Genomic DNA, 25,234 nt, shown 5'->3' on the forward strand with positions numbered 1-25,234 from the left:
CCCCATGTTTGCAGATGAGAAGACTGGTGCAGGTAGTTTGCATCATTTATCCAAGGTCTCTGGTCTCTTAGTCAAATGCCGTTTCTATAATTCCATATTATTCTATGGTGGCATGTAGGATGCTAACCTTAAAAATAAGCAGCATGCTTTTTCTGCTAGCTTGTTTTTATATACGTTTGAGACCCTAGATTTTATAAAAAGTAATTTCCCAGTTTTGCTCGTGGTGTACTCTTTTTTTTTTTTTTTTTTTAAGCATTCAGAGCAACAGAAAATGTAAGAGCATGGTGAATGATCCCTACAGCCAGAGCTTGAAGCAAATGTAACTTTTTTGGCAGGACAGTCTTATCTTAAATGATAACAGCATCAAGGAATGAGGGTTTATTTTCTATACAATCCCCTTTTCTTTATAATCCACTATGGGTTCCTTTGTCACAACTTTGATTTTAGAGCTACATGTGACTGTGTCTGTCATGTAGCTCAGATGAGGAAATTGAAGCTCAGAATAAATGATTTGCCCAAAATTACATGGTGATCTCAGTTCAGTTCTAGACTGAACTGAGACTAGAACTCTACTTCTTTTCATCCTGCATAATGTCATGGGATCTCCTGTTTGAATTTACTGCTAGGGCTTACCTAGGACCACTGTCCTAATACCTCTGAAGATAATGGAATGAGAGTGAGGTTTTAATTAGTTTGGCTAATTGTTATGGTATTACCTGCATGTAGTATAACCTGAATTTTAAAGTGTTAAGAAAAACCCCTTTAAAGCTTTGAGTAGTAATTTTTTTCTGATTCTTTAATAATTTAATAAACTTTGTAACTTTTGCCATCTGATTAACTCCTTGGAGCAAGGGGAGGAGCAAAGTAGCCCTCCACAGAAACTGTCAGGCCCTTTTGGTCCTGATGTTTTTCTCATTCCACATTCCTTCATTCTCTTGCCTGTGCCATTTCTCTTTGAGCAGTGTCTCTCTCCCCAGTGTGGTGTCTGTATGTTTCATGCATTTGTATCCCATTTTGTTTCACCTGCAACACTGACCTCTTCACCATTCATTTTCAGTTCAATGCGAGTTCTTGGGGATGTTGTCAGGAGACCTCCCATTCATAGGAGAAGGTACAGAGTTCATTAACTTGATGGACTAACCATGTCACCTCTGAGCATATACTAACAAGCATCTCATTCTGCTTAATCCATGATTGGATCATCTACTTTTAAGTAATGTCCCATCTAATTCAGGCAAATAAAATATAGGTACTTATTAATTGCTAGTGTCCATTTTATATGAAATGGTTTCTTTAATTTGAAGTTTTATGCTATTTTATCTTTTTTAAAAATTATTTTTAATTTTTTTAAATCTTGTGCTTATTGTTGTTCAGATGACTGTGAGAATAGGGTCTCACCTAGCTTTCTCTAGGAGAGTTCGAAGAATTGTCTATGTCGTGCCTATTTAATGGACCCTGGGGAGTACTTTTTTTTTCTTTTCCACAAAAGAAAAACCAGGAATGTGTGTGTGCTTGTGCACAGGCCCTAAAGTATTGTCAACACATTGTTTAATAATGTAATGAAAGACTTTATTACTAGGCCACCTGGCATTTTCCATTCCATTGTGGATATAGTCATTTCTTAAAGCAAGTCAGAGGCATAAGTTCATTCCTTGGCCTTTGAATTCCTTAATTAGTATTTGTCAGGTAATATTTTGAAGCTAAAAATAAACGATTTATAAGCTGAGAAGTAATTTCTAGTCAGATTGCTAATTTGCTTCAAATTTTCCGTTGGATTTTCTTTAGAAGTCATTAGTGACCTTCCATTGTTTAGAAAAATATTTAGAAATCCAAAAATTAGGGTTATATTACTGTTAGTTTCTCAGGAGGCATTTGTAAAGAAGTATTTTTAACTATTAGCTGAACCTGTTTGTTGGCAAGTGGGCAAATAGTGATCTTTCCTACTTTGTCTTTTTCAAGTGGATGCTTTCTTTAATTCCAGATTTTAGGCAAGAAATTGAGCTGAAATTCAGATATTCTCATGAATTTCAGATAATCATGATTCCTATGAAATTGTTCTTCCAGAAAATAAGTTGTTAAATAAGTTTTAACCCCATCTCTACTAAATAAGTTTTTCAGTAGAAGGTTCTTTGGAGATACGTTTGTCTGGGTCTTTATTAAAGCTCTTCAATATGAGCTTATTAAAAACATGCACTTGATGACAAGGTGGGAGACGACAGATTGCTGGATGCAGTCTGAGTTAGTGTATACATGGAGTGTCATCAACAACTCCAGCCAGTTTCATCCCTAGTGAAACTTATTTTTGTAGGAAGAACGTAATGTATAATTTAAAATTTTATAAAATTGAAACATTACAACAGGTATTATAAGGCAGGAGGAGGGACATTTGTTGTTTTTTAATCTAGAACTTTACAAATCTCAAAGCCAAAGAACTACTAAATATTATCCCTACTAATTGAGGAATTGAGGAAATGACGATGCTTTCCAAAATACTCTTAATTATGAAAGGAGTTTTCTGTTACCAGAAAGGGCAGACGTTGTAGACCATCTGCAGCTTCCTTCCTGGTACCTTAGAAAAGCTGTTATATCTTGGCCGAGCACGGTGGCTCACGCCTGTAATCCCAGCACTTTGGGAGGCTGAGCCAGATGGATTGCGTGAGCCCGGGAATTTGAGACCTGCCTGGGAAACATGGTGAAACCTCATCTCTACTAAAAACACAAAAATTAGCTAGGTGTGGTGGCATGCACCTGTAATCCCAGCTACTCAGGAGGCTGAGGCAGGAGAATTGCTTGAACCTGGGAGGCAGAGGTTGCAGTGAGCTGAGATGGTGCCACTGCACTCCAGCCTGGGTGACAGAGTGAATCTAAGTCTCAAAAAAAAAAAAAAAAAAAAAAAAAAAGCTTTTATGTCTGTCTTCCTATCTCCCTATTGTTTTTCACTCTCTTCGTGTTAAATCTCCTCACAGTCTTCCACATCATTGTCATATCCTGGAAGTAAAGGAACATTTAAATCTGTAGAAGGAGATTATTTTTAAGAATGATGGTTTGGCAGTGTATGTTCAGTTACTGATTTGCCACATTCTGTTTCTAAAAAAGAAGTTGGATATTTAGGTAAAAATATGCCTATTTATTAACTGGCGATTTAAAATTTAAGTTAATAATGTCAAAGAATGGACTTCTGAGTCTTATCTGTGTTTGTAAAATATATATCTTCTCCTCACACAAGTAAATTATGTCAGTGTCATCCCACTTACCAGACCAGCGAAGTGTCTCCACTATATTTTTACTTTCTGCTTCTGCACTTGTAAGCTTTATACCACTAATTTAATCTGATTTAAAATGTTTTATACTATTTAGTTTTAAATGATATGGTAAAGATTTTTTAAAAGAGCCATAGGGGTAGCTCTTACATCCTCCCACCCATTTTCCTTGTCTCCTTTCTCCAGCCAAAAACCCCACTTGACAACAAAACAAAGTTATTAGATGTGTCCAGTATAGGTGTTTTTGGTGCCAGGCCTTCCCATCTGCAAGATTCTGGAGGGAGCCGAGTGGTTTTATTGAGCCGAGTGTTTTTATTGTCCACAAGCTCTGCTTTTATCTCTTCTCAGAAAACAAAAACACATCACCTAGAACTTTATGGCCCAGGTAGCAGGGTATTTTTTTAATGATAGCTTTTGTTAATAAAAATCCCAACATTTCCATGCAGTTTCCTTTATAGAACACACAATATTTTGAATTGATTATTGTTTTAGCTAGTGGTGTTTACTTAGCATTTCCAACCCCAGATTTTCTGTCCTTGCTACTTGATAATGGACACCGCTACTGGGATATTCAAGGAAGTAGATGATCAGATGGATTTTTTTTATCTTGTAGGAAAAATGGAAACAAACTTGAAATTAAAAAGATACATTTCTAACTCAGTGCCATAGAATTCCTTTTTTTTAAATTTTTATTATCAGCCAGGTGCGGTGGCTCAAGCCTATAATCCCAGCACTTTGGGAGGCTGAGGCGGGTGGATCACTTGAGGTCAGGAGTTTGAGACCAGCCTGACCAACATGGTGAAAGCCCATCTCTACTAAAAAAAATACAAAATTAGCTGGGTGTGGTGGTGCACACCTGTAATCCCAGCTACTCGGGAGGCTGAGGCAGGAGAATCGCTTGAACCTGGGAGACAGAGGTTGCGGTGAGCCAGGATCGCACCATTACTCTCTAGCCTGGGCAACAAGAGTGAAACTCCGTCTTGGGGGGTAGTTTTCATTATCATTAAAACATAAGCAAATATATAATCAGTGTTATATGCTTTATCTTTAACGTAACAGCCTAGTGAGTAGGGTTTGAAGATGGATGCCAGTGTTGACTAAGTATCTTATCATGCAGAATCTATTAATGTCTGGTTTGGTTGGATCCGTAATGGAAACACATGAAAAAAAAAAAAAAAAACCGGATGACTCCATGAGCCCACCAGAGCACAGTTTGTCACTGTCTCTTTTAAAAAGTCTAGGATTAGAGATACTATGGTAAGGGTGATGTGGGAGTATGCGATGTACTGAGAGATTGTACCCAGTGGTGGAGTTTGAAATACCTCTCATGTCTGAAGAGCAAGCCATAGGTAGTTGCCACAGTTCACTAGAAGGAATTTTTGGGTTTCAGGTTGAACTGGTGATACTGTAAAGAACCCACAGTCTTTTTCCACAATGCTGTCTAGACAAGAAGAAAATATTTTTAAGTTTCTATGATTTTTTATTATAGCCTTTTTAAAAATTGTCAGTGTTACATTCCTAAATTTTTTGTTGATCGCATAAATCCGTCTGTCTCTAACTATGCCCTTCGTTTTTAAACCTAATAACCCCATTCCTGTTTCCTCTTTTCTCCCTGCATTTCTGTTTCTGTCTTTGATGTCATCCCCAGTATGAGCTGGTGCCCCTCTGGTGTGCAGTACTCTGCTGGCCTGAGTGCTGACTTTAATTACAGAAGGTATGATATTGTTATGTGTCCCGCCACCAAATGGGGAACCATAAAATACGCCATCAGGGCTTTTGGCTTGGAGCTGGCTTCTGTGTGGCTGGGATGCATATGGGCAGCCTGCTTTGTCTGTGAGCACAGCATTTCATTGCCTTTGCTATGGGTGTCACTAACTCAGCTGAAGGGATGCAGCCTAAGAGTCGGGTGATGCATCCTGTATGTCTCAAATGGCCATAGATTTGATGTTTTCTGCACAGATTTATCTCTCTCTGTTTTGGTTTGTCTTGATTTTCAGATCCTAAAAATTCTTGGAACCCGAAGAAAACAATCAAAGAACCAAGGCAGCTAATAAGATGCACTGATTTCTATTATGCTTCTAAATCCACCATTCTGTGTAGATTCCAAATTCAGAGACTCCTCATCGTTTCATATTCTTCTCTCAACTGAACAGCCAGATTTAATTACTAAAACATTTTCAGAATTAAGTTTTGCAGTAAGCATAGATCTGGTTTTCTTAGGCTTTTCAAGTAATTTCTTCTTCACTTAGCCCCTCCTCTTATCCCTGGTATTGAAAGTGAGTTTTACAGGCCAGGCATGGTGGCTCACACCTGTAATCCCAGTACTTTGGGAGGCTGCGGTGGGCGGATCACCTGAGGTCAGGCATTGGAGACCAGCCTGAAAAACGTGGTGAAACCCCATCTCTACTAAAAATACAAAAATTGGCCAGACACGGTAGCAGGTGCCTGTAATCCCAGCTACCTGGGAGGCTAAGGCAGGAGAACCACTTGAATCCGGGAGATGGAGGTAGCAGTGAGCCAAGGTCGTGCCACTGCACTCCAGCCTGGGCAACAGAGGGAGGCTCTGTCTCAAAAAAAAAAAAAAATAGGAAAAGAAAGAAAATGAGGTTTACAGAGTCATTTACTTGTAGTTAGTCATGATTTCTATTATATTGAAGAAAAACATATCCATTGTTTAGTTTACCTACTAGAGAAAATAGAGTTATATGGCTTCAGTTCGTTAAGTTATTTACAAAACCAAAATAAATAAATAAATAATTTAAAAAAGCAAATACAAGTCCTGGACTGGTAGGTATGAACTTAATTGGAGCAATTTTCTGTACAGTTTTCCTTGAGTGGAGGTAACTAAGTAGCTTCAGTATACCTTCAGATTGAATTCCAGCTCATTGTTAGCGGAGAACATGGTCAGCTACAGCTATGTTTCGAGATCTTGGTTATTTTAAAGAAGTTTCCGCTGCAGTTGTAACAGATGTGAATTACTCTAGTTAGCAACCCAAGGAGGTTAAATCGCTAACCTGTCTCTGTAGCCTTCTGCTTACTGAAAATGCTTTTCATTCTGCAAACCACAGAATCTGTCTTGGAGGAATCCTCTTTAAAATGCCAAATCCTGACTGCCTTTGTTCCCTTTACCAATATCCAGGCAAAAAATTACAACTCTTTCTACTCTTAGACCAGGTTGCTTTTCAGCATTTGTTCATTAAGGTGTTATATGTGCCTGTTGCAACTAACAATTCTCGAGAAGTCTGTCAGCAGTTGTTTGGCCAGGTGTGCATAGATGGTAACACTCATGAGTAACACTTGGGTTTTCTTGGGTGAAAGCATACCTGTAAAATTATAAAGGTCAACTTGAATGTAAAATTATAAAGGTCCACTTAATGGACATAAGGGCAAGTTACCCAGTTTGCCTTCTGAAAGTTACTTAAGCTCGTATTTTCTCTGTGACATTTAATTACTTGGCATTAGTAGAGTTAGATTCACAAAGATTAATTAGATCAAGGAAAAAACACATATATAAAATATCAGATAACTATGGTCTGTCCATATAGTGTGTAGAAAAAAATCTGAGAAGTGATCTTAGGTGGTTCAACATTTGGATAAATTTAATGCGGTAAGAAAATCTAAGTGCAGTATTCTTTCTCAGTATTCCAAGATCTGTGGGGGAAAGGTAGGTAGTATTCTTTGTGCCATGCCCTTTTAGACAGTTTTGCTAGCTGACATAGAAATAATACACAAACAAGGGAGATATACCCAAAGGGATTTTGTGTCCTCCTTTGTTTTTGAGACCCAGAAATAGAATGAATTAACTTTTGTGCCCTATGTTCAGTTTCAGTCTAGAAGGCTTGACAGGAGGAGCTGGTGTCGGAAACAAGCCATCCTCATCTCTAGAAGTAAGCTCTGCAAATGCCGAAGAGCTCAGACACCCATTCAGTGGTGAGGAACGGGTTGACTCTTTGGTGTCACTTTCAGAAGAGGATCTGGAGTCAGACCAGAGAGAACATAGGATGTTTGATCAGCAGGTAAGTCTTAAATATGTCTAATTTGGAAAAAATATATTTCACAAAATATGAACATAGAAGGCAAGGCTTCTGGTAGTATAAGGCTAGTAGCTATGATTACTTACCCATTATATGATATACTTAATCTAGCACTAAACCAAGTGTTTAGCACCTAATTAAAAAGGGCCAGGCATGGTGGCTCATGCCTATAATCCCAGTGCTTTGGGAGGTTGAGGCAGGAGGATCAATTGAGCCCAGGAGTTCAAGACCAGCCTGGGCAACATAGCAAGACCCCCCATCTCTACAAAAAATTTAAAAATTAGCTGGACATGGTGGTTTGTGCTTGTAGTTCCAGCTACTCGGGAGGCTGAGGTAGGAGGATTACTTGAGACCAGGAGTTTAAGGCTGCATTGAGTTGTGATTGCACCACTGCACTCCAGCCTGGGTGACAGAGCAAGACTCTGTCTCCAAAAAGAAAAAAGAAAAAATAAAGACTACGTTAATCTGCATAGATTTAAATATTCCATCAAGGCACACTTTTTAAAATTAGGAAAGTATCCAGGATATTAAATTGAGTTTTTCCTTCTTATCTGAGACCATCTTTTACCCTCTCAATAGTAAACTGAATCTTGAAATACGCTACATATCGTTATTAATTTTCCCAATTCTCTAAAACATATCCCAAGTTTCTCCTTTGTAGGAAAAAAATTAAAAACAAAACTTTCTTACTACACCTTCCAGGAAATGTCAGTTGATTCTCTCTCCTTCCCATCCCTACCAGAATTCTTTTTTTAAAAAATTATTATTTTTACACTTTAAGTTCTAGGGTACATGTGCACAACGTGCAGGTTTGTTACATAGGTATACATGTGCCGTGTTGGTTTGCTGCACCCATTAACTCGTCATTTACATTAGGTATTTCTCCTAATGCTATCCCTCCCCCAGCCCCCTACCACACAACAGGCCCCGGTGTGTGATGTTCCCCGCCCCGTGTCCAAGTGTTCTCATTGTTCAGTTCCCACCTATGAGTGAGAACATGCGGTGTTTGGTTTTCTGTCCTTAGCGATAGTTTACTCAGAATGATGGTTTCCAGCTTCATCCATCTCCCTGCAAAGGACATGAACTCATCCTTTTTTATGGCTACATAGTATTCCATGGTGTATATGTGCCACATTTTCTTAATCCAGTCTATCATGGACATTTGGGTTGGTTCCAAGTCTTTGCTATTGTTAACAATGCCATAATAAACATACATGTGCATGTGTCTTTATAGTAGCTTGATTTATAATCCTTTGGGTATATACCCAGTAATGGGATCGTTGGGTCAAATGGTATTTCTAGTTCTAGATCCTTGAGGAATCGCCACACTGTCTTCCACAATGGTTGAACTAGTTCACAGTCCCGCCAACAGTGTAAAAGCGTTCCTATCTCTCCATATCCTCTCCAGCATCTGTTGTTTGCTGACTTTTTAATGATCACCATTCTAACTGGTGTGAGATGGTATCTCATTGTGGTTTTGATTTGCATTTCTCTGATGGCCAGTGATGATGAGCATTTTTTCATGTGTCTGTTGGCTGCATAAATGTCTTCTTTTGAGAAGTGTCTGTTCATATCCTTTACCCACTTTTTGATGGAGTTTTTTTTTTCTTGTAAATTTTTTTAAGTTCTTTGTAGATTCTGGATATTAGCCCTTTGTCAGAGGGGTAGATTGCAAAAATTTTCTGCCTTCTGTAGGTCGCCTGTTCACTCTGATGCCTACCAGAATTCTTAAGAGAGCATCTATGCTCCCTGCCTTCTCTTTTTAAAATTTTATTTATTTATTTACTTATTTAGAGACAGGGTCTCACTCTGTCGCCCATACTGGAGTGCAGTGGTGCCATCACAGGTCACTGCAGCTTCAACTTCCCCAGTTCAAGTGATCCTTCTGCCTCAGTCTCCCAAAGTGCTGGCATTACAGGTGTGAGCCACTGTGCCTGGCCTTTGCCTTCTCTTTATCACCATCTAATCATCTCTTAATTTCTGCTGCTACCAGTCTCTTGAAACTCCTGTCTTGAAGGTCATGGATTTCCATGTCAGCCAAATCAAAGTGACTTCTTAGTTCTCATCTTCTGGATGTCCTCATTATCACTTACCACTTTTGACAATCCCTTGGGGAGCTTTTGAGTTGAGAATTCAAATTATTTGCTTTTATATCATTGTACCTCACTGCAAGTCTTTTCTCTTCCTCTTGGGTCAGAAGACTGATTAATTTACGAAAGCATTCTGGGATGCATCTTATTTCCTCCAAATGAAACACTTACAATTTAAAAAAAAACTGTTTTTGAATAGATGACTGGAGTTTGAGGCAAGAATCTAATGATACATTTCTAATTAAACAAAAACATTGACAACCTCTTCCTTGATTTGCTGAGTAGGACTTTGTGTAGAAGTTTAAATTTTTATTGCATCCTACTATGAAGCACTAACATGACCAAATATAAACTTGACACTGAAGGATTATCTTAGTAATTATTGTAACACTTATGCTTGTGTGAGACCAGACAAATAAAGAGATTTAGGCATAATGAAAATCAGTTGAAGAGTGAATTTTGCCCCTTTTAAAAATTTTTCTACTTGTTCTGATACTTCAGAAGGAGTTAGAAAAAATAAGAATATGAAGAATATGCTTGTTGAAGCAAGTGATTTAGATTTACTCAGCCTAATGGTAACAGAGAAAGGAAGAAAAAAATAGGAACAATTCTTGGATGGCTACTGAGCACAGCTTTGCTAAGGGTAAATAAACAGTGAAAAAATCTTTAAAATAAATTGCATTTCAAATTTATAGAATCCTTTGGAAATCATTTACAAGATGAGGTAAAATACCAAAATTGTGGATTTGTAAACAGAATCATAGGCCAAGACTGACATATCCCTTCAGATTTAGCTCCAGCTCATTTAAATGACTTGCCTAAGGCCGTGTAAGTGGCTATTAGCTGAACAGTATTAAACTCAAGAGTTCCTGGCTATTAATTTCTCTGCTTTTTTCCAGGTTTTTGGAGTAGGTGAGTTTTCAAGGAGGAAATAAGAATGATTTAATTTTCTTAATATTATTTATGTGATACCTTTTCTAAGATGGATATTTCCGGGAATTTGACAGATAACCCTGCATTTTAGTAAGACGTTACTACTACTGATGTGTTTCTAAAATGGACTGTCTTTCTGAAGTGGACTTTCTGATTCAGTCTTTCTAGATAAAGTTGTTGTTTTAGTGCCTTGCTATGCTTAGCCTTCCTGGAATCTCTACTTACCCATAGTTTTTATCTTGTATGGAACCTCAGAGTAGGCATTTGAGCTGCTTGTTTCACTCTGATCTAGACGAGTTGCCTGTAGCCAACTTCCTGTTAAAAGTCTCTGCCTTTCACTGAGGTCATTTTTTAGACCTCACAGTTGTATTTGAAACATAGCAACTGTTTGCCTCAGCTGCCATGGTTACACATGAAACAAGCTCTAAATAATCAGAAGTCTGGCCTAAGTGAGTCAAGTTCATGCTAGTAACGGATTTTTCACTGCTTCCCTTTCAATATGTGAGTCATAAGGAGGCAGATTTCATTCTGTGAAGGGAAAGGATTAATGATAAAGTCAGTTAACAATTGGAATGGGCTCTTATCACCAGAAGTGTGCTAGTGGACACTAGATGACTGTCTTTCAGGGATGTTGTACCAGGAACTTCTGCAGGTGGTTGGATTACATGGTCTCAAAGCTGCTGTGAATTTACTGAGAGAGTTAAATTATCAAATTTCAGTTACCTTTACGTTCATGTAGAATCACTATCATCTTAGAAGAGGATAGGGAAGAGATTTAGGCTTCTTTCCAGATACACTGTTGTTTTGTTTGTGATCTTAAGACACTTTACTTGAATCTCAATTTCCAATTATTTAAAATCAGAGGCCAGGCCTGGTGGTTCACACCTATAATCCCAGCACTTTGGGAGGCTGAGATGGGTGGATCATTTGAGCCCAGGGATTTAAGACCAGCCTGGCCAACATGGTGAAACCCTGTCTCTACCAAAAATACAAAAAATTAGCTGGGCGTGGTGGTGCACCCCTGTAATCCCAGCTACTCAGGAGGCTGAGGCGGGAGAATCGCTTGAACCTGGGAGGCAGAGGTTGCAATGAGCCGAGATCATGCCACTGCACTCCAGCCTGGGCGACACAGTGAGACTCTGTCTCAAAAATAAAAATAGGCTGGGTGCGGTGACTCACGCCTGTAATCCCAACACTTTGGGAGGCCGAGGCAGGCGGATCACAAGGTCAGGAGTTCGAGACCTGCCTGACCAACATGGTGATACCCCATCTCTACTAAAAATACAAAATTTAGCTGCGCGTGGTGGCGCGCACCTGTAATCCCAGCTACTCAGGAGTCTGAGGCAGGAGAATTGTTGGAACCTGGAGGCAGAGGTTGCAGTAAGTAAACCAAGATTATGCCTCTGCACATCAGCTGGGTGACAGAGTGAGACTCTGTCTAAAAAAAAATAATAATAAATAAAGTAAAATCAGAATACTATTACTGATATTCTACTATATCTGTATGAAGAAATATTTAGATTTTCAAAGAACAAGTATTGTATGTAGTTTGATATTTCCAGTGAAATTATTTTTAAGTGATTATGCATCCAGCAGATATTTATTAAGTACTTACTAAGTTTGAAACATTGTTAGATGCTATGAGGGATACAGAACCACTGTAAAGAATGGATACTCTAATGATCCCCATTTTACAGATGAGAAAACTAAGCCTCAGAAAAGCTAAGTAACTTCTCTGAAACTGAGCAGCTGTTAAGTAGCAGGAGCAGACTTTAACCTAAGTCTGTCTGACCACAAGGCCTGTGCTCTCACCCGCTTCTTCACTGCCTTATTTTACTATGTGGGTCTAATTATAAGGTTTTATGCTTATCTAGAAATATGAGAGTATATGCTTACAACGTGTTCTTCACTTTTTTACTTCACAGATATGTCACAGATCTAAGCAGCAGGGATTTAATTACTGTACATCAGCCATTTCCTCTCCATTGACAAAATCCATCTCATTAATGACAATCAGCCATCCTGGATTGGACAGTGAGTATACTACTTTTTAAAAAAATTAAATATATTAAATCTTAACCACTCTTCCTATTATTTTTCTCACTTTAAGGCCCCATAACATTACCTGCCAAAATTTGCTTACTACTTCTTTGAGTGAATGGCTCAGCACTTAAACAGAAAAGGTGGCATAGAGTTTATCTTGAGATCTTCTTCCTTTTACCTAAAAATATCCCTAATACATTAAGTTTATTGTATTTGTGGGCATGAATCTGACACACTTTTTAAAATTTTTTTATTTTGAAATAATTTTAGACTTGAAAAATAGTTACAAATAATATTCACTGGGGAAAAAATTGCAAAAATAGTACAAAGTATTCCCATGTATTCTTCACGTCCAGTCCTCAAATGTTAGAATACTTGTTTCGCCAGCCTCTCTCCCTCTCTTTATCACTCCCCTAAAGATTTTTTCTGAAACACTTGAGAGAATAAGTTATATCCATAACTCTCCTTTACCTCTAATTTAGTGTATATTTCCTAAAAACAAAGATATTGTCTTATATTACCATAGTATATGGGTACCATATACTGGCCTTCTCTGGCTACTGAGTGCTAGCATTAGTATATAAGAGTACCTTATACTCTTATATACTGTGGTAGTACTGTATTACAGTAGTCTAATTATCCAAATCAGGAAATTAATATCGATAAAATTGTGTTATCTAGTATGTACACCTTATTCAGATTTCAAATTTTCTCACTTATTTCTGGGTCCAAGATTCAATCTAAGAATATACATTGAATTAAGTTGTCATATCTCTTTAGTCCACTTTAATCTAAAAAGTTCCTCAGTTGATCTCTGTCTTCCATAAACTTGTCAGTGGAGAAACCTCGCACAGTAACTGACCTGAGCTTTTCAACAATGTCAAGCTCAAGAAGGACAAAGCAAGACTGAGACAGAGATTTAGTTCAGTGAGGGCCAGTAGGATTGCATCTGAAAGGGGTTAGTGGACCTGTATGCGGATTCAGATCAACTGGTGTTGGAAGTTATGTAGAGATGTCATGGCATCCATAAGCGCAGGGCCTTGTGATGCTCAAAAACATACTTGGATTGGATCAGTGTTGTTTGTCACAAAAAAGGCAACTTGTTCTTTGAGAAGCCTCATTTTTTATTTTTTAAATGTTGATTTTTTTATGAGTAGTTGCTGTGTGGGATCTGGATATAAAGATTAAATTCTCATCAGAGAGGGAGTGAGTGATACATTATGTTCTTTGCTGAAAGACCATGTGTCTCGGAGGCTGAAGCAAAGGAAATAAACACACTCTCCTGGTGTTTATGGGGTTTCCTCATTGTTCCCTGATATAATTCAGTTTAAGAGTTGGTGACAGAAGCAGATGCCCTATATTCATGGGATGTTCCATCTCACTTCATGACTTACTGGAATCCTAATTTTTAAAATTTTCACAGTGGAATTAAGACATAATGGATGACTCTAGCCAGACATGCTGACACATGCCTGTAGTCCAGCTGCTTCAGAGGCTGAGGCAAGAGGATCATGAGCCCAGGAGGTCAAGGCTGCAGTGAGCTGTGATGGCACCACTGCATCCCAGCCTGGGTGATAGAGTGAGACACTGCCTCAAAAAAAAAAAAAAAAAAAAAAAAAGAGAGAGAGAGAAAGACATAATGGGTGATTCTGTTAACTTTTTTCTTGTTTTCATGTGATTAATATTTCAAATACAAATCTAGCGTATTTGACAAAAGGTGTCTAACGGAGACTTATTTTCAAAGATATGTCCCCCAGAACTGTGACAGAAATAGCTTTTCCTGTTTTTGCTTGTTTGGATTTTTTTTTTTTTTTAATTTGGCTTTGAGTTAGATGTTTGGCTTGTATAGAATGGAAAGTACAATTGAATAGTTTGCAGTGAATTTGATAAGCCAGAATGCTAGCACTCAGTAGCCAGAGAAGGCCAGGAAGGCACTCTAAGTGAGACATTTCAGCTCAGCGTCCCCTCCTTCCGTGACCAGCAAGTGTCGTGACATAGTGGATATTGTACTTCTACAGCAACAGATAACTAGTACCAACAGAATGTGTCCCATAGAGAGACCTTTTTCCTATATTTTGTGACATGCTTTCTTTCCTTGTGGATGAAACACTTCATTATTTTTCCTTCACAAAACACGGTGCTTTTTGACTGTGTTTTCAGTTGCTATCCAAACACTATAAATAATACAGCTAACTCCCCAAAGCGCTATTCTAGAGGTTCTGACACATAGAGCTTTTCTTCCCGTTGCTGAGAATTTTTCTGCTCAACTCACCTAGGGAACCTGATTGCAGTAGTAGACTGCTGTCAAAAGTGGAGCTTCAAGCAAGAGTTTATTCCTTTCATCCAAATGTAATACCCTCATTCTGATTTGTAGTGTACGTTTCATGCAGGCTGGAATGATAGCTAGCCCCACGTACCTTCCTAATAGCATATGCTGCAACAGAAGGACCCATCAACCTTAATGTCACTATTTCTCCTTAGTTCCTCCTATATACAATTAAAATAGTTTCCCACCTGTATTTGTTATTCTACACTAGAAACATAATACATCATTTTGGAAATGTTAAAATTCTGACTAAAGAGAAGACTAAAACTTGTGTTAAAGTGTGTGTGGTATGCCTTAAGCATCGGGATAACTGATACTTCATAATTTGCTCCAGGCTCAAGTGTTCAATTCCAAGTCACTTAAATACTCAGCATGATTCATCTATGGTCATAGTCTCCCTAACTGAAATAGTGTCATAAATAAAATCCTCAGTGATTTTTAAAGCCTAAAATGTTTGGTACACTCAAAATATTTTAACTGATATTTTAAGCACACTTAGTAGCTGTATTACTTTGAGCTTGTTACTGAAACTCTCTGCATCAATTCAACTGTTAAATGGGGATGATAATGTGATGTGGCTTAAATCTGACTTCATTTGAAGTCCATAGCATATTTTCTGTCATATAATGAGCACATGCTGTCATTGTGGAGTGTGATTGTTCACAATAACCAGAACAGTGCCAGGGTCCATTTTTCTCTGCCCAGAGCTTAAGCAAGGTTAAACATTGCTCACCATTGCTAGGACATTGTCCCTTGTTGTCTTGCACTTGGCTGTTTATTATGAGTGTGCTTGTTTAGGAACAGAATGTTTTCTAAACTCATCCTAATCTCACTGCTTTCCAGCTTTTACCTGTGCTCTTTTTCCTTCTAAAGAAATTATTAGTTTCCTCAACCACAGTTTATCACAGCTGTCAGTAAAACTTGAGCATTTCTGGAAATGTATTTCCACTGAGCTGTTGTCCAGAATGTCTTTTGTTGGGTCATTTGCTAGATTAGAAAAACAGACAAACTTGTAGCATTATTTCTAAGCTGGGATCTGTTTTTTAAAAAATCTACTGATGTAAAGGAAAATACTGAATAGAGAGGGTGACTAAAATATTTCTGTATCACTTTCTGGGGTGGAGAGTAGGCAAGCAGTAGCTTCTTTAGGAACCACAGAGGACGGGAAAAGCTGCAGTGTCTCCTGTCTTGGACTTCCTGTCTTGATTCGAAGGGTGGGATATGATGAGCGTGACTTGCCGGCAATTTTTTAGGGGGTCGCAGTAGCACAGGTGCTGGCTGTGTCATGAGGCTTGGTGCCTGGGAGGACTGCCCTGAGAGAAACTTCTCCATGGAATGTGTTCACAGCATTTCTCCTCCTTGCATCAGAGAAAGATTGTGTGGAGCCTTTTTCTCCCACTGTGCTGGGAAACATAGATGGTTTCTTGATAGAACTTAAAAATAAATTTTATTTTCACATGTATAGAATTCAGTTATTACAGATGATCCCTTTCTTTCTTTCTTTTTTTTTTTTTTTTTTTTTTTTTTGGGGAGACAGAACAGAATCTTGCTCTGTTGTTGCCCAGGCTGGAGTGCAGTGGCACGATCTTGGCTCACTGCAAGCTCTGCCTCCCGGGTTCATGCCATTCTCCTGCCTCAACCTCCCGAGTAGCTGGGACTACAGGTGCCCGCCACCACACCCGGCTAATTTTTTTTTTGCATGTTTTTAGTAGAGATGGGGTTTTACCATGTTAGCCAGAATGGTCTCGATCTCCTGACCTCATGATCTGCCCACCTCGGCCTCCCAAAGTGCTGGGATTACAGGCGTGAGCCACCGTGCCCGACCCAGATGATCCCTTTCTATGGCTGTATTTTTAACCTTTTCATTGCTCCCACCCAGAAGATGCTTCAAATAATAGAGAATCTGCTTGATTGCATCCCTGGAAACACATTAGTGGTGATAATGTTGAAAGGGGAATTGGACCCGTTAGACGTTTTAACTTCATATGCTTCTTAATGAGATTTCATTTTCCCCTTCATTTTGCATGGTTTGTTACAGGTTGAGCATCCCTAATTTGAAAGTCTGAAATTTCTCAAAATCTGAAACGTTCGAGCACCAACATGATGCCACAAGTGGAAAATTCCACATATAAGGCCTTAACAAAATTATGTAACATATTATATAAAATTACCTTAGAGCTATGTGTATAAGCTGTATATGAAACAAATGAATTTCATGTTCAGATGTGGTTCCCTTCCCCAAGATGTCTCATCATATATATGCAAATATTCCAAAATTCAAAATCTGAAATACTTCTGACCCCAAGCATTTCAGAAGGAATACTCTGTGTGTATCACAAAGAAGGGCACTTTCCCTTGGGGTTGTTTTTACACCTTTGCTTATGGCATGTGAGTTTGCCAAGTTTCTTAAGCATGTTGTGATGGGAGTAGTAGCTTGTAGTTGTATGGCATGCATTAGACTATGACAGCTAAGGCCATCTTGAGAGCTGAACTGTGGCAGTTACATATCTGTACCAGATCTTTAAAAAGGTAAAGGATCTGTGTGACCAAAGATCAAGGTGGGCCTCTGGAAAGTTAGGCATCAGTGCTATTGAGGATATTTTATCTCTGTTTTCTGGATTTCTTCTCTAACTATGATGGGAATTTACTGAAATATGTATGTGTGTGTGTGTGTGTATATATATATGAATATATGTGAATATATATATATATTCTTAGCACAGTTCTGTTTGGAAAAGATAACATTGACAAATACATCAGAACAAAAATGTAATCAGACTTCTTTTTGACATTTTTATTAAATTGTAAGACTGGAAAACATGCATGTTCATTAAATGCATATATAAATATAAACTTTAATTCAATTACCTTGTAAAATTGAATTGCTCTGTTACCAGAACATTTCCTTTATATCATATATATGTTGGAAATTTCCATATGTCAGGGATACTCTAGACACTCATCACGTAAGATTTTTCCTTATGATCCATGATTTTGTGACACATGAAGGAGATGTTCTTAGATTCTGAGTAATAGGGGCAGCTTATTTTCATTTTCTAAATCTGTTTGACATTTGGAGGCACATCAGAACACACATTACAGTAGTATCTTACTTTTGCACAAGACTCTGCCTGAGAAACTAGTGTGTATTTGTACCAACATTTCTTTGATCTGTTACTTGGAGTAGCTGCAACAGCAAATAGTGATGTCACTTAGCATTTATCTGGGGTATGGAGTGGCTTTCATAATAGGTAGGTACAGGGCTTTTTCTCTCATTTCATTTAGGACATTGAGATTCCAGAAAGTCTGATAAAGGGAAGTTCATTTATTAATGTGTCTATCCAGTAAATATTTGAGTACCTACTCTTTTCCGTACACCAGGCTAGACCATGGTAGGAGGGGGGTGAACTCACAGGTAGGGTTCCTTTCCTCACCACATTTACAGATGAGAGCAAGTGAATCTAATAGAAAATGGTAAATGCAGCAACTTAAACATCTGATGTTATAGGACTGACAGACCTAAGGGGTCAGAAGGCTGACTAAGGAAAAGTAATATTAAAGTTTGGACCAGAAGGAAACTGGGAATTAGCTGGGTGAATTAGTATGTGGAAAGCAAGACTGAGGAATTTGGGCCTCTTGCCTGAGGGAATTGGAATCATTTACATTGATTAAGTTGGTCGAATAATGATTAGAACACTTCAGGCTGACCATAGTGAGAATGTATTGGGAGGAGAGATTGGATCAGTAGAAGGCTTTTTTTTTTTGAGAAGGAGTCTCACTCCATCGCCCGGGCTGGAATGTAGTGGCGCTATCTCGGCTCACTGCAACCTCTGCCTCCCGGGTTCAAGCACTTCTCCTGCCTCAGCCTCCTGAGTAGCTGGGATTACAGGTGCCCACCACTATGCCCAGCTAATTTTTTGTATTTTTAGTGGAGACGGGGTTTCACCGTGTTGGCCAGGCTAGTCTCAAACTCCTGACCTCATGATTTGCCCACCTCGGCCTCCCAAAGTGCTGGGATTACAGGCGTGAGCCACCACGCCCAGCCAGTAGAAGGCTTTTGCAGGATTCAAGTTACAGTAGTAGACAATGTCCTAAACCAAGGCAGAGAGCAGTGGCAATAGGGGAGGAATAGAGGTTGAGCTGGAAGACAAAGTGAAGAAGCCTGAGTGAAGTGTGATATAAGGATTCAGGAATGGTGCCCAGGTTTCCATTTTGATTAATGAGTTAGATGTTGGTACCACTCACTAAATGAAGGAACACAGGAGGAGGAACAGGTCTGCAGGAAAAGATAAGTTCACTTACCTGCTTTTGGAGCTTTAGCTGCCTGTGGAACATCCACCCACAGGTGAGCAGGGAGAGGAATGAGCCTAGATCTAAACAGAGATCCGGCTTCCAGATTAGAAAGATGTGAGTCACCAGTGTGTTGTATGCAGATCGTTGTTAAGAGGTGGAGTGAATTAGGAGATTTGGGGTGAGGGAGAAGAGAGCCAGATATAAAATCCTGAGGAACATCACTACTAGATGTTTTTAGTATACTTTTAAGGAAGAGAACCCCAGGTATGAATTGTGATCATTCTTATTTTCATAATCTAACAGGTATGTATTTATTAGCCAAATTTTTTAGAAACTGCATTAGAATTCTGTATATTCAGAAATGGAGATGAGAATGTAAACAAATTATTACATCATTCACCTAGACAGCATTTCCCGGAACCGCATAGGCCATTGACATTATGCTGTTTCCCCATGTGCTGAAGGCCCTGGCATAATCCGAGCATGCTCTAATGTCTTCTGTGAACCTCCTTCTCAGCTCAGCAGCAGATGCGGCCAGCAAGGCGGATCTCCATCAGCATCTCTCCGCTCCTCCTTAAGTCTAAAACTCTCTTTTCTCTTGGCTCTTCTTATTCGAGTGATGAGGAGGAGGAGTTGCATAGTAAGTAAGCAACTTTGGTGTCCAGTGACTGTTCTTGAAGGTCTGACCAGCTCAGAAAATGCTGTAGGCTTGGTACTAAGAAATTGTATGGGGGCTTTTAGCCTCTTGCATGCCATCCTTTGTAAGTCATTTGTCTTTATGCTTGCCTTTGAGAATTGGTTTGGATAGAACATTTTTTTGTCTTCTGTATAGTACTAACGCTGAGCTACTGGCCTCCTGATTCCAGGGCACAAGATAATCTTTCTAGCACACAGATACCCTCAAAGGTGTAGGGGGTGTGTTCCCATCCCATTGTGTACTCTTTCTAATAATACTGTATGCTAATTTCACAAAACTTTTTATTTGACAATGTAAATTTTATTTTCCTTGTTGTGTTGTTCTGTCTCATGGGACAGATATCTAGATGTTCATCTGTGGTGTTTAAAAGCTATTGTTACACTTTTTTTCTTCTCCTTTTCAGACCATTTCTTTAAAAATACCTTTCCTTTAAGATTAGACCCCATGAATTAGAGGGAGGGAGTTATATACGTTTTGTGAGTGTGTGTTGTGTTTTTTTTTTTTTTTTGAGATGGAGATGGAGTCTCACTCTGTCGCCCAGGCTGGAGTGCAGTGGCGCGATCTTGCCTCCCAGGTTCACGCCATTCTTCTGCCTCAGCCTCCCGGGTAGCCTCCTGGGTAGCTGGGACTACAGGCGTCCGCCACCACGCCCAGCTAATTTTTTTTGTATTTTTAGTAGAGACGGGGTTTCACCATGTTATCCAGCATGATCTCGATCTCTTGACCTCATGATCCGCCTGCCTCGGCCTCCCAAAGTACTGGGATTACAGGCATGAGCCACAGCGCCCAGCCGGAGTTATATACGTATTTATCTCCTACTTTCTCTCTCCTTTTGAACTTTTATTTTTACTTCTTTGGATAAGCTGTAGGCTTCAGATGAATACATTCTTACTTGATAATGCCTTGTATAAAAACTTTACAAGGTATCAATTTTAGTAAACTTGGAAAAGAAAGAAATTCCCCCTTCATGAAAATTACAGTCTTCAATTGTGCAAGATTTCTAGAATATTCCAGGATTGCTTTTAATGGAGAAACCACTTATAATAGAAAGTTAAATAAAATTGTTTTTATATAACTAGTATTATGAGTCTGAGACAATTACCATACCCATATGATTAGGCACCCTAATTCCCTACCACTTGCTGATTCTAAGTTTCAGCAATATTAAGTGTTTCTCAAGCTGGCATTTTCACACTATTCTTAAAGGGAAGTGCCTTATGCACAATAAGACAGTTTAGTTAATTTGGTTTTAAATGGTGGCCTTATTAAGGATTTGGTATATTTTTCACTAATAAAAGATGTTTGAAAAATAGACACAGAATAAGATGATCCCAGTTGTAATAGAAGGAAGGTTGTGAAAATCCACTCTAACTTTGGGTATTCAGAAATTTTCAAAGCTGTTTCATTTCAGAGTATTTGTAATAGGCTGGGTGCAGTGGCTCACACCTCTAATCCCAGCACTTTGGGAGGCCGAGGCGGGCGGATCACTTGAGGTCAGGAGTTTGAGACCAGCCTGGCCAACATGACGAAACCATGTCTCTACTAAAACAAACAAACAAACAAATTAGCTGGGCATAGTGATGGGCACCTGTAGTCGCAGTTACTTGGGAGGCTGAGGCAGGAGAATCACTTGAACCTGGGAGGCAGATGTTGCAGTGAGCCGAGATCATGCCACTACACTCTAGCCTGAGTGACAGAGTGAGATCACTTCATCTCAAAAACAAAATTAAAAAAAAAAAATCAAAGTATTTGTAATATACCGGGAAGTAGCCAGGTCAGCATGGCAAATAAACCAAGGTCCCAGTCAGGCACAGTGGCTCATGCCTGTAATCCCAGCACTTTTGGGAGACTGAGGTGGGCGGATCACGAGGTCGGGAGTTCAAGACCAGTCTGGCCAACATAGTGAAACCCCATCTCTACCAAAAATACAAAAAAATTAGCCGGGTGTGGTTGCGGGCTCCTGTAATCCCAGCTATTCAGGAGGCTGAGGTAGGAGAATTGCTTGAACCCAGGAGGCGGAGGTTGCAGTGGCCAAGATCATGCCATTGCACTCCAGCCCAGGCGACAGTGTGAGACTCCATCTCAAAAAAAAAACAACAACAAAAAACCAAGGTCCTGCTAATACAGAATTATGATCCTATAACAGCACTGGTCATTCAGTTAATCCGACACAATGGAACCCTAAAAATACGGAAGCTTGCAGAAACTTTTTGAATCAAGTATCTTCTCAAAATGTGTTCCTTAAATTCAAAACTACTAGTAAGAATTATGTGTGGGCAGGGAGAACCAAAAGAAGGGAGGGGTTGGTTCATGGCCAAATATTAGTAAATTTAGGAAACTCTGGGTTAAGCAGGTTTAAAATGCTAACGTTGTGTTACGTTGTGGATTTTCAAGGCAGTGTTCAATATACTGTTTCTCCCAAATGTATTAACTAGAAAACCACAATATGTGCAGCACTGTATACAACATTTCATGAAACTGGTGTTCCACGGAACACACTCTGAAAAATATCAACTGTGTCCATCCAGTAGTTCCACCCTGAAGTTCCTGGCTGTAGTATAAATCTGCAGGTTATTTCATGCCTTGAAAGATAATCTAGTTGAAATATATTATTTACCCACAATAATACTTTGCAGGCTAACTTTAATGACAAGTTTCGTTTCGTTTCATTTATTTTGTCCATAATTTTGTCATGGAAGTAGCATTGGTTGTTTTCTACCCTTAGGTGCTCTGAAAACTTGATGATACTTTAGGAATTTCAGAGGCATTGGTGGATTAATTACTGTGTTCAGAACCACATCTAAAAGGTCATCATAACTTAACTAAAATTTTTAGCAGTGGAAAAGTTGAAAATATTATAGGAGTCATAGATTCTCCTAGTACTCAATCACATATGTGTTCAGTCTTTAATTTATTCCACACATATCTGCTGGAAGCTTATGATTGGCCCTGCTTTGTGTTGGTTGGTATTTTTCTGCATTATGAATTTTATTTTTATTTAGTTCATATTACTAGGGTGGTAACTTACTAGGTAATTGCTTAAATGTATAGTAGAATCCAGGCAAGCTTAGAAAATTTAATGCTGCTCCTATCACTGAAGTTTCCTTGGGCAGAAAAGGTTTTAAAACCACTGATTTAAACTATCCTCTTGATTTTTTTTTTAAGTACACTAATGCATCATAAGATTAAAATGCTGATATTTTACACCTAGATTATGCAGAACCTGGGGATGGATCCCAGATATTCTTATGCTGCTAATCTTTCCCTCTTACCTGGCTGTTGTTACCATGTGTTGTAAGTGAAATGAACAGAAGAAGAACCCTAAACTGGGAAAAAGGAAAAAAATACGGAAGGCAATCTTTTGAAGACTTAGAATTTGTTTTAAGGTTTCTTATGTATTATTCCTACCTGTTGGCAATTTAAATTTAGCCAGGTGCAATGGCTCACCCCTGTAATCCCAGCACTTTGGGAAGCGGAGACAGGAGGATTGCCTGAGCCCAGGGGTTCAAGACCAGCCTGGGCAACATGGCGAGTCCCTGTTTCTAAAAAAAATTTGTAACAATAATAGATAAAAATAATAACTACAGTTTTGGATTTCTGTTCAGAATCTGGAACAGTTTGAGAGTTGAAGAGTTTCAAATGCGGGTAATCTGGGAGTTTTTTTGTTTGTTTTTGTTTTTGAGATGGAATCTCGCTCTGTTACCCAGGCTGGAGTGCAGTGGCGCAATCTCGGCTCACTGCAACCTCGACCTCCTGGGTTCAAGCAATTCTCCTGCCTCAGCCTCCCGAGTAGCTGGGACTACAGGCATGCGCCACCACGCCTGGCCAATTTGTGTATTTTTAGTAGAGAAGGGGTTTCACCATGTTGGTCAGCCTGGTCTTAAACTCCTGACCTCAAGTGATCTGCCTGCCTCTGCCTCCCAAAGTGTTGGGATTACAGGCATGAGCCACCGCGCCTGGCCCAAATGCTGGTAGTCTGGTAGTAGAACATCTTCAAATCTCTATCAGATTAAAGTTTTGCTTACAGTAATCTCAGAGATCCTTGAAACCAACCTCAAGGAAAAAGGAAGGTGTTTTGTCTAAATCGTTAAAATAGTGTTACAGAGTAACCTTTGTTTCCCTGGAATATACATGGAAATAGTTCTATAACTGATGTCCTGAAAATTGAAAATCATTTATCACTGTGACTGAGGTCTTGCTCTCATCTAAGTCTTCAGTAACTCAATCTTTATTAACATGTGGTAGATAAAAATAATAATATTCCTTCTATTTTTTCTTCATATTGCCCTATCTGACATAGTCTTAGAATTTTAATGACCTGCGGCAGTTTATGGTCCAGTGGTTGTGGAAGGAAGAAGTACGCATCTGCCTCATTCATTTTTATCTCTATTAGCCTGGAAAGGACTTTGCCATCTGTTTTATCTCCCTCATTTCACAGATGAGGAAATGAAATCCAAAGGTCTCATCCCAAATTAGTGACAGGGCGAAGACTTGATAAGCCAGCTCTGATGCTCTTTCCTGTTTGCTAATCTATTTCTAGCAATTCTCATGAAAATATTAGAGATGAGCTAGATCTTATAGAAACATATAAAAGCAGTATTAACGGATAAAATATGACATTTAATTTCCTATTCTATATTCTTCCTATGATGTCATCTCAGAAGGATGGTTTGTGCAAACTGAAGATTGATAAGAACTGGAATTAAACATGCTTCATATGTGTTTAAGCATTAGAAAAAGTTATTTGGAGTCTTTTTAGTTACTTGAATCCTGGATTAAACTTATTTTCTTCATGAGAAATTCACTACCTACTTCTGGTTCTAATTTGAGGGTTTCAAGTTTAATTTTTCCTTCTTTCAAACCTTTAGAAGGAGGAGGTACCATGTGCTGACTTTCACACGCTGTTTTTGCTTTAGCTGTGTCATTGTGAATTTATAAATATTCTACCCGGCATCAGTGTTAAATTTTTTGGTTCTAACTTTTTTTCTGCCTTGTTTTCTAGATTCACGGCCCTTCCACAGTACCTTCCACAATACCAGTGCTAATCTGACTGAGAGGTACTATAAATTTGTTACTCCTTTTTCCAGAAATAAAATGAAGAAAATTTAAAATCTCTTAGGCCATTTAATTACGTAAACTAAGTTAATTGAGCTTATTGGGTTCTTCTTTGAGTGATAAACTTGGAATAATGATTAAAAGTGGTTTTGTCATGAAGGCTATACCTTAAAGTTAATGTCTTCAGTAGTTTTATTAATTATACTGTCCTCATGATAAAAATTGGTTGTATTTATTGATGTGAGGGTACACTATTATTTGACTTTATGAACTTGTGCACCCTTTGCTTATGGGATTTTTAATTCCTAAATCTAACAGTCTAAACAACATTTTGTTTCATATTAGTGTCTGTGTGTGTGTGCAATTTATAATAGTCTTAGCTATTTTAAGCTTTAAAGCTGTTTTCTTCTGTATACATGTAAATGATACATAGCTCTGTCGAAGTAAACGAATTGATTCTTTTTTTTTTCTTTTGAGACAGAGTTTCGCTCTTGTTGCCCAGG

At 38.7% G+C, this 25,234-nt stretch overlaps 1 protein-coding gene across 3 annotated transcripts in view, besides 2 other annotated features; it reads left to right on the forward strand.

The window, feature by feature from the left end:
• The window catches only part of AKAP13 (A-kinase anchoring protein 13), a 368,756-nt gene that overhangs the window by 276,877 nt on the left and 66,645 nt on the right, over window positions 1-25,234 (forward strand). Inside the window, exons 12-15 of one of the 3 annotated variants that reach the window (NM_007200.5) lie at window positions 1,058-1,111; window positions 7,084-7,276; window positions 12,243-12,351; window positions 24,679-24,733. In NM_007200.5, the coding sequence (NP_009131.2) occupies window positions 1,058-1,111; window positions 7,084-7,276; window positions 12,243-12,351; window positions 24,679-24,733 (411 nt within the window). Of the gene's footprint in view, window positions 1-1,057; window positions 1,112-4,908; window positions 4,975-7,083; window positions 7,277-12,242; window positions 12,352-24,678; window positions 24,734-25,234 lie in introns of all 3 variants that reach the window. The other 2 variants (NM_006738.6, NM_001270546.1) reach the window with 2 other exon arrangements.
• Window positions 10,609-10,778: an enhancer, noted in NCBI's record as "experimental_42301 CRE fragment used in MPRA reporter constructs". NCBI's record gives its function as "activates a minimal promoter by MPRAs in K562 erythroleukemia cells, with activity observed for both the introgressed and non-introgressed 15:86211404 variant alleles {active_cell/tissue: K562}" and the evidence as "EXISTENCE:reporter gene assay evidence [ECO:0000049][PMID:34662402]".
• Window positions 19,834-20,003: an enhancer, noted in NCBI's record as "experimental_42317 CRE fragment used in MPRA reporter constructs". NCBI's record gives its function as "activates a minimal promoter by MPRAs in K562 erythroleukemia cells, with activity observed for the introgressed 15:86220629 variant allele {active_cell/tissue: K562}" and the evidence as "EXISTENCE:reporter gene assay evidence [ECO:0000049][PMID:34662402]".

Source organism: Homo sapiens, chromosome 15 (genome assembly GCF_000001405.40).
Source record: "Homo sapiens chromosome 15, GRCh38.p14 Primary Assembly".
NCBI classification, from domain to species: domain Eukaryota; kingdom Metazoa; phylum Chordata; class Mammalia; order Primates; family Hominidae; genus Homo; species Homo sapiens.